Here is a 10,436-nt window from a genome sequence, read left to right on the forward strand (position 1 = left end):
GTGATTAAACTGAGTTAAGTTAATAGGTTTTGCCTTTTTGCATGTTTTGTTAGCTATTTGATAATATTTTTCTAAAGAGAAAAATGTTCCAAGAGAACAATATTAAATGTGATCATTCATCACATCCAAAGCAACATTTTTCTTGTTCTGCTCATTTTTGTTTCATTCTGTTTTGTGAAACCAAAGAGGAGGAAAGGAAAAAGAGGAGGAAAGGAATTTGGTGGTAATAATCAAACTTACATTATTGGAGAGTTTTGAGAAAACAGCCTTCTCAAGAGCAGTTATTCTGAATTGTTGGTGAAGTTCTACCAACATAATAAGGGAAAGAAGGAGAGAGGTTTGCTGTTTTCTATGTTCAAATAGAGAACTTGGTTAGATGTGATATTATAAAGATAGAAAGTGACATATAGTCAAAGTTCTCTTCCTAAACCAGTTCTGGTGTTGTCACTCTTTTGATTAAATATCTTCAGACCTTCAGGATAAAAGGCATGCATACAAAGCCCTTCATGACATGACACGTGCTTTTCTCTTCACCCCTACCTCCTGTCATTCTCACTCCATCCCAATAGACTGAGACTCCAAAAGCCACCAGCTCATTGCTTTTCTGGAATATGCAAAGCTCTCTCTCCATTCATGCTCATGTACTTGTTCTTCTCTCTGACCCAAAGACCCTTCACTGGCTAACTCCTGGTTACCCTTCAGATGGGGAAGAGATTAAATACTGAGAAAATGTTCCTGTCTTTCCCCAAAGTTTGGGGTAGTTAGATGTTTCTGAAGAAATCATGTTGACCTTGCCTCCTAAGTTAGTGTTTCTCAAAATGGACTTCACATTCCTTAGAGGGCAGGGATGGTGTCTCCTTTTCTGCTTTATCATTATGACTTTACAGTAAGCACTCAATAAGTATTTGTGGGCTAAACAGATGGATGCATTTTGTGGATGAATGAAATGATTCTGAGAGTACTCCAATTATGAAAGTGTAGAACTGACATGGTTTGGCTGTGTCCCCACCCAAATCTCATCTTGAATTGTAACTCCCATAATTCCCACATGTTGTGGGAGGGACCTGGTGGGAGATAATTGAATCGTGGGAGTGGTTGCCCCATACTGTTGTCATGGTAGTGAATACGTCTCACAAGACCTGATGGTTTTATGCTGGGTTTCTCCTTTCACTTGGCTCTCATTCTCTTTGCCAGCCACCATGTAAGACGTCCCTTTGCTCTTCCTTTGTCTTTTGCCATGATTATGAAGCCTCCCGAGCCAAAGGGAACTGTGAGCCCATTAAACCTCTTTGCTTTTTAAATTACCCAGTTTTGGGTATGTCTTTATTAGTCCTTGAGAGCAAACTAATACAAGAACAATAGGTAGGTTTGTAGAGTCCTTAAGCATGTGGGCTATGGAACCTAACTGCTTGGCATGAAATTTTATCTCTACCATTTACTAACTGTTAGTTCTGGGGCAAGTTGTATAAACTTTCTTGACTCAGCTCTCTCATTTGTTAAAATAGTAATAACACCTTCATTGTGTTGTTGGAATGATTAAATGAAGTAATATATGTTAAGTGCTCAGTCAGTCCTGATACCTAGTAGTTCAATATGCTGAATATTGCCCCAGGTAGCAGACCACTGGATTCAGTTAAGACTCATAAGGACCAACAAAAGGTGGATCCAGGAAGGAGAAGGTGCATGCTTGACCCTCTTATCTTCCTCATCACAATACTAAAAACACCATGTTGAAATTGTGTGTTTAGTAGTATGTATCTCCATTTTATCCTGAAGATCTGTGAGAGAAAGCCCATTGTTCTCTTGAGCACTGCTGTATCTCTAATATCAGCACATAGAAATTCTTCAACAAATATTTGCTGAATGATTAGTAAGCACAATCAGGTGAAGGCATTTGAGACTTTTATGGCGTGACTCTAACAACCTTGATAGTAAGTAATTGGGAGCCTTAAAAATTATAAACCCCCCTGAAAACTCAGGCATTACAGCAACCATCTCCATTAGTGGCAATTAATTATACTTTGAATTTTCTCACCTTGAAGTCAGGTTTAAAAATACCCTTTACCTGTGTGTGTGTGACAAGGCATGGTATGAAGTAGGGATGAGATCAGCAGAGGTGAAGTCAAGGACAGAGTAGGGACAAGGAAATGAACCCAGGGAGAAGGTTTCACTTGAATAGGGAATGACAGTAGTATTGTTTAGAGGGATCCCTAAATGTATCAGTGGATGTTCCGAGAGCACTGGGTATTTTGCAGTACATGAAACCTCTACAGCCTCATATTTCACTACACAATTCGGGAGAAAGTAAAATATGAGAAAAAAGATTAGTGGATTTAGGGAGATAAGGCAGTGAATTAACAGCTCACTGTTTGGAGAGTATCATATATAACAGCTCAGGACACAAATTCTTTGATAAATGATATCTTCAGGGAATTTTCAGACAAAATAAAAGTTTTCCAATTAGTTTCCTTGAGATAATGTCACTTTTCCCCATAAACACACTGTAGTTGATTTCATTTTTCATATGTTGGTTTGCTGATGATTTAGACAAAGGTGAATGAACCTGGCTTTACTCGCAGGATACATATTTTAAAATGGTATGCTGGTTCTTAGACAGGTAACTTCCACCAGCCAGCCCTCAAGGTGAATAAGAAACACCTTTTTGGCTCTTTGGAACACTAACTCTTTCAGGACATTACATTTCATCTCCAGTACACTAATTGGCAATTTGGGAGCCTGAAGCTGTAATCTATCTCCTAGAAGAGTTGTTACCTCACACCTAGGGGGTAGTTTACTTTCCCGGTGATATCACAGAATAGCAGAATTTGAAGGAATTTTGAGCAGTGAAATATACAGGTCTTGGCCAGAGGAACGCAGGAAAGACAGGCATATTACACGCAGTTTCAACCCCAGTAGCAGCCCCTGCATAGTCTTGGGATCATCTTAAACTCCCTTGCTTCCGTTTTCTAACCAGGAAACAAATTCCAGATCAATTCTAGATGGAAGCTGACAAGTCTTTATAAAACACTGTCTTATTAGATGAGTGGACTTTGTGATGTCTTCTGTTATGTCAACAGAGAGATGGTACGATCCTGACCTTTTTTCGGGAAGCACTTCCACTTTCAGAAGGTTTTGTTCAACCCATCTCTAAGATGCACCAATCTATCTGATTTCAATATTTCTTGCCAGAATAGCTATATATTTACCTTATGTAACAGGTTCCACCCTCAGGTATTCTTCCTAAATTACTAATGCTATGTCTTAAATTTATTATGTCTTTTTTACTTAGGAAGCACTGGAGTATGATGGTTAAGAATTGGTTTCTGAAGCTTAGAGGGTCAGAAGTTTGAGTCTAGCTCTGCGTACTAACTTGTGGCTTTGTAAGATTATATAGATTCTCTAAGACTCCCTGTTCTATTCTGTAACATGGGGTAATAATAACAGCTTACCTCAGGTGTTGGCTCTGAGAGATAAATAATATAATTCTAGTTTTTTTTACTAGATAGTTATTATCATTATTACTGTTGTACAGATATAGTCAGGGTTGAAGTTTACTTCATGATAAAACTGTCTGTAAAAAATTAGTAACATACATTAATTCTAGGGGAAGAGTTTTAAATTTTCATAAACTTTGGAAGGCTGCATAAAATAGTCAACATTTTTATTATAAATTTGCTAATGTAACCATACAAGTATAATTTAAAAACTTGTTTTTAAACAAGTAAGTATTATACTTAAAATGGCAGAAAGCAAACTGGATTTCTTTGAAAGCATCTGTTGTTTTTGACTCCTCACTGATTTAAACTAACTTTATCTCAGTACCAATGAATGATCTTTCCCATAGTTTCTTATTTACCCATCTTTCTTTCATGTTAACCACCCTAAATTGCAGGATTTTTAAATGGCGGGGAGTGGGTAAGGATATTGACCTGCTTATTACACGACAAAATTTAAATCCTTAACTTGGTCAGTTCATAGCTGTGGTCTCTGAACAAATATTTGATCTCTCTGGACTTTATTTGCCTCTTTGTAAAATAGAGATGGCAATAGCTCATAGTATTGAAAAGAAAATAGCTGGGTTCAATTGGCTTGACAAAAAGCTATTAAGAGCTATTTTAATGTAAAGCAAGTTACCCTTCTGAAGTCCAAATTGCTCCTTGTGGGGAAGATGAAGCAAGGACCCTGAAGCTCTGCCCAAAGTTGCAGGGCTGGCTTCAGCAGAGTCTGGGCATATCCTGGCTCTGCTACAGCACAGCTAATGACCATTTTCTTTATGAGATGCTCTATGGAAATTGTTGCATGGGCAAATAAGTTCGGGAAATGCTGCACATTACATCTCCCCCACACTTTGGGGAGTGAATCTAAAGATTCACAGTGCTCATTAGTTTCTTAAAGACCAAGAACCCCTTCAGTAGAGAAACCTATTTAACCTTGTGTAATGCAGCATTTCTTATATATATTTGACCCTGGCACCCACTGATGCCCCTTAGGAGGCATATGCTAGAGAGAGCTGATGGGCTAGCTGAGGTTGGAGATGATTATTGTGATCTCAGTTCATGCAGTTGTCTCCAGCAGAGCCCGATTGATCATATACAGACACACACAATGAGTTCAGCTATGGACCTGGCTAATTGAGGGATTACTTTTCAGAAGGGCCAGTCACAAAGACAGAGGACATGAGCAGAGAAGCGTGACTGGGGAAAAGACATGTTTTGGACTTCATGAATTTTGACTATCTCTGAGAGAGCTGAGTGAGGGTATGTGATTGGACGTCCGATGCACAGGTATGGCTTTCAAGAGAGAGAGAAACACAGTTATGCACTACATAATGACATTTTAGTCAATGACTAAAATGCAGAGATGACTGTGGTCCCCTAAGAGCATAGTGGAGATGAAAAATTTCTGTCACCTAGTGATGTCATAGCTGTTATAATGCTGTAGCATAACATATTCCCTTTTGTATATTTAGACATGTTTACATACACAAATACCATTATATTAGTTGCCTACGGCATTCAGCACAGTAACATGCTATGCAGGTTTGTAGCCTAGAAGCAATAGGCTAGACCATATAGCCTAGATGTGTAGTAGGCTATCCCATCTAGTTTTGTGTAAGTACATTCTATGAGGTTTTCATGATGACAAAATCATCTAAGAAGGCATTTGTCAGAAGGTAGGCCTGTTGCTAGGTGACGATGACAATATAGATGATTTTTGTTTACTGATACATTTAATCAACAAATTTGGATATTGAAGCTTAGAGGGAACGATGGGAACTTTGGCAGTTGATGTAATTGTATAGGAAGAATGTTTTAGATTAAGAAGAGAATGGAACCACACTAGGCCCACCAGACAGACACATTGGAATCACTGTCATTTAAAGAATAAGCAAAGGACAGAAGGTGCAGTGGCTCATTCCTTTAATCCCAGTGCTTTAGGAGGCTGAGGCAGGAGGATTACTTGACACCAGGAATTCAAGACTAGCTTGGGCAACATAAAAAGTCCCCATATCTACAACAAAAACTAAAAATATTAGTTTTTATAATGGGTTTTATATTAGTTTTTATACTGGGCATGGTAGTCACATGCCTGTAGTCCAAGCTACTTGGAAGCCTTGAGGCTGGAGGATTACTTGAGCCCAGGAAAATAATAATAATAATAACAACAACAACAACCATAGGCAAAGAGAGAGAAAGAGGACAACTTTTTAATAGATGACTTTGTTCTCTTTTGCATTATTGTTATTGATTACTACTACTTTTTCTCTTAATAAACAGCAAAAGTTCAGGAAGGTTGTAATGTTTTTGAAATAAAGCTCATGGGTGGCAGATGTCGGCTTCCAACACAGGCCTCTTGGCTCATGCTCAATTCATCCTTTTCCTAATACACACTGTTAAATTTCTCTTCTGCACACAGCCTTCTATTAGATTCTTGTTCTCATAGAACTTACAGCCAAGATACAGAATACTGTAAATATCAGGATTGAATACTAAAATATCAGTTATAAATCTTATACGAGTGAAGAGAAGGTTATCAACAGGTATTTTCATCTCTGCTACAGAGCCAATAAAATTAATAAGTGTCTTAGCTGAGAGTAATGAGCCTATTACTTTGAACCATCATAAGAAGTTAGAGTAAGTTAGTATTTTAGGAAATAAAGCAGGAGCTGTTGATTAATTTTTAAGTTTGTCATGATAGCATAATTTCTCTAAGATATTAAATTTTAGTATTTTATATAGGAAATTAAGCAAAACTGTTTGTGAAATACATACATAAGTATTCACTTACATATATACTCCCATATGTTTATATTACAATAATGGAAATAAAGTTCAATAATCAAGCCAAGAACCAAACTATTGCTGGATTTTATCTTTCTCACTTACATCAATATTGTCAGTGCTTAGATTTTGTTTTTGATTGTTTCCAAAATAGTTATTTTCCATCTACAATAAAAGAGAAATGTTCATATTTGCTGAAGAAATGTTGAAGATGCTTATGCTGGATGAAGTTTGTGTCTACAGTGAAAAGCATCAGATCAAAACCAGTTGTTTTGGTGTTTTGAGCTGTCTTAGGTGAGATGCATGCTGATCTAATTAGTGGTGCAAAAAATATTTTTAAAAGGAAAAATAGCTGGGCTGATTGTTGTACATTGTCATCAATTAGCAATAACTAGACAATTCATTTCAAAGGAAAGAAAAATATATCACTAATTGACTGTTACTAATAAACATTGTGCCAAGCAAGCTCAACTACTTAGAGTGCAGACTTTAATGTTGCTTTGTGTGTCTCTTACTCCTTGCATAGTTTTCCTTCAACCACTGTGAACTTTGTCAGAACACAATAATCCCCATTTTTAACTATATTAGTTTCCTGGGGCTGCTATAATAAAATAACAAATACTGGGTAGGTTAAAACAACAGAAATTTATCGTGTCACAGTTCTGAAGGCTTGAAGTCTAAAACTGAAGTGTTGGCAGGACCATGTTCTCTCTGATGGCTCTAAGGCAGAATCCTTCCTTGCCTCTTCTAGCTTCTAGTGTGTGCTGCAATCACTGGCATTTTTTTGCTTGTAAATGCATCGTTTTAGTCCCCTGGCCACCTTTTTCCTATACGTCTTCACATCATTTTCCTTCGTGAGTTTGTCTGTCTCTGCATATACAAACTTCCCCTTTGTATAAGGACATCAGTCACATTGAATTAGGGCCTACCCTAATGATTTCATTTTAATTTGATTTCCTCTGTAGACACTTTATTTCCAAATGAGGTTACATTCTGAGGTACTGAGGGTTATGACTTGAACATGTTTTTTTAGTGGGGTGACACAATTCCACCCATAACAACAAACATTGGAATTTTACCTATAAATCGCTAAAAGTGAGATCCTTTTCCTTTTCCTCCCCAGGACTTCCTCCTAACTGAGAATAGGTTGGCAGATCACCTGGCTTTTGCATTTGGCACCTCTCTCATTCCAATAAGAGACCAGAGGTTTCCTTCAGCTTTTTCATATGAGTTGTTATCTGCTTGTTGGGTTATTGCAGTGATTGTCTACCCTGCCTGCATATTGGAACCCTCTAGGAAACTTACGTATCATTCTGGGGTGTGACCTGGGCATGGGTTTTAAAAAATATTCTCAGGTGACTCTAATATGAGAATACAGCTGAGAACCTCTACATTAGGAATAATACTGAATTGATTGTTTGTTGATCCCACATTCTTTCAATACTTTTTCTCCTCTAAGATTACTATTATATTTTTTATTACATTCTAGAGCCTTTTGAAATACTTTAGCTTATGTGCTTTAGAATAATCATTAAGAAGCCTGGATGAATAACACAGGGGAGAAAAGATAGGCATGCATGAACAGTCATGCTGGCTAGGGAAAAAATACTGTTTGAGTCCTAGTTACAAGGGGGCCAAAATGAATTGATCATTTGCCTTTTGGCTTTAGAAGTGGGCTTATCTGAGACAAAGAGAAGGGCAAACTCAAAAAACTGGGTCCTGCAAAGTGCTGGAGATGTCAGAGAGCAACAGGCCCAGAGATAATGCCATGAATCTGATAACAAAAGAGGGGGAGGAAAGGAAGGTGCATGTCTTTTTTTAGTAACATGTGAACACTAAGAATGAGAGGGTTATTGTCTCTTTTTTTAAAAGTATGTTTGAAATTTATCATGGCTTACAAAATAAGAGCACTGAAATAATCATTTGAGAAATAATGAAGTTATTATATATGAGGGGTGCTACTGGGGTAATACTCTGTACATTGTTTGCCATGTTTGTTTCCAACATTTATTTCCTCCTTTGAGAATGGGAATGTGTGTATGTGAATGTGACTGTGTGTGTATATATGTGCATGTGTGTGTTTCAATACCCTGAAGCTATCATTGGTTATATTCCAACACTGTCTTAACTTTCCTTCCTTTTCTATACAATTGACAAGGAGTTAATATATTGAACCAAATGATATTATCATTTTGAAGTATTTGCCCAAGGCCATGAGCATTATATTCTCCATTTCAACAATGACTTAGGAGAAGGCAGCTCTGAAAATGTAGGGTCAAAGCAGGACAAAACTCAACTCAGAACAATGACTGAAGACTAGTTTTATTTGATTGATGAGCTGGAGTATTGGTTAAGATTATCTAACATTTTTTACACCCCTAACCCATGGTATAAAACATGTTTATGTCAATCCTAATCACAGTTCCCAACTATTAGGTTATTTAACAATAACACTGCAGACATTTAAATCATGATTTATTCAAAGATGCCTTTTGCACATAAAGTTTATTTTGTTAGTTTGGTTAGCTCTGCATTGTTTTAAAGATAATTCTCTTGCAAAGGATAATTCATTGAAAAGTATTTTGCTAAGACTCCAGAAAAAAAATGGATCACAGGCAAGTTCCCAGAAGAAGCATATTAATAAAGTGTTGGAAAACCTCTGAAGGATTATATTCTCTAGAGATGACCATCTATTGGACATATTAGCCTTTAAAGTCATTTTATTTTTAAGTTTAAAGATCTATGTGAAATACTGTTTTGAATCCTGGAATTCAAATACAACCTTTCATATTGTTAATCTTTCTTGAAGTTTAAAGAGATGGGAATAAAGAAAAAATTATTTCATCTTAAATTTAGCTCCGTGTATACTTTTTTCTTTTTAACTCACCTAGCTTTTATGAACACTGCCTATGGACTAGGAAGTATAGAGAATACAAAACAACTGACATAATCCCTAAATATAGGAGTCTTTTGTATATATGAAGTGGCTGCATATGCATAATACCCTGTTTAGGAAAATGCTGCAGGGTCAGCTGTATTTTAAATAATCAATGGCTTATTTTAAGTCACTAATCTTAAATCGAGAATGTTAATTCCATTAAAGCAGAAATCATGTTTACTTTGTTTATTTCTATATACAAAGCATCTTCGATATTTCCTTACGCATTGTGGGCATTTAATAAATATTTTTGGAATGGACAAACAAGAGGCCAAAGAGGAAGTTTTAAGCTTTAAGGAGATTCCAGATGTTCTGAGAAGGAGGATTGAAATTTAAAATGGAACACTTGCTAAAAGCAACCAGAAAAAATTTGAAAATTAATAGTTATTTTGAAGAATGGATAGAACTTGGACAAAATAAAAGGGAGTGGGATGTGTATAGGTGTATATGAATGTGAGTATATGTGTGCTGACACATGTATGTAGAAACAACCTGAGAACATTAAAGTGGCAGGGTGGATGTGTGGCAAATAGAGAACATAATAAGCATGCATCACTGCAACACCCTTTTGGGAGTTAAAAAAGAAATAAAGCTGAGTAGGTTGAGTGAAACCAACCTCTTGGAAAGCCTTGATCTTCTCTTTTAGAAGTTTATAGATAAATAAATACATTTATTTATATATGAACTGTGTATGTGTGTGTGTGTGTGTACAATTTCTTTTTATCTTTTTATCATCAAGTAGTTTCTAAGATAGACTTGAGGGGAGCAATTCCTAAACAAATTAACGAGTTTGTGGGGCTTTTGCAGTCATGTAAGATGCATCTATTAAAAACTGAACCAGGTAATGCAGAAGTAGTGGGGAGAAAAGGAGGAATGAATCAACATAGTTTAACCAGAAGGATATGAAGTAAAAGGGAGAGAAAGAAGCAAAATATTCCTGCAAGTTTACATGTTGGGTGATGAGGAAATGATGGCTTCATTCTTCCTTTTGTCAATATCATTTCTCAAATTGTCTTTCCCTTCTCCTTGGATGATTTGGTCAGTGTTTCCTCCTTGACTTTCTCTTGCTTTTTCTAAAGGCTTAGTTCACAAGTCTCCTTCTGTTTCCTGTCTGGATTTAGTGTCCCTCTTACACAATTTCTTGGTTTCCTTTGCAGGCCAATGTCATAACACTCATCACACTACATCACATTATTTGTTCACACCTGTTTCTTTTA

At 36.6% G+C, this 10,436-nt stretch overlaps 1 annotated feature.

Annotated features, from left to right (window-relative positions):
* Positions 3,694 to 4,370: an enhancer, noted in NCBI's record as "OCT4-NANOG hESC enhancer chr13:61455386-61456062 (GRCh37/hg19 assembly coordinates)". NCBI's record gives its function as "activates a minimal SCP1, AML or CMV promoter by ChIP-STARR-seq in naive and primed H9 embryonic stem cells {active_cell/tissue: H9 hESC(naive and primed)}" and the evidence as "EXISTENCE:reporter gene assay evidence [ECO:0000049][PMID:30033119]".

This window comes from Homo sapiens, chromosome 13 (assembly GCF_000001405.40).
Source record: "Homo sapiens chromosome 13, GRCh38.p14 Primary Assembly".
NCBI classification, from domain to species: domain Eukaryota; kingdom Metazoa; phylum Chordata; class Mammalia; order Primates; family Hominidae; genus Homo; species Homo sapiens.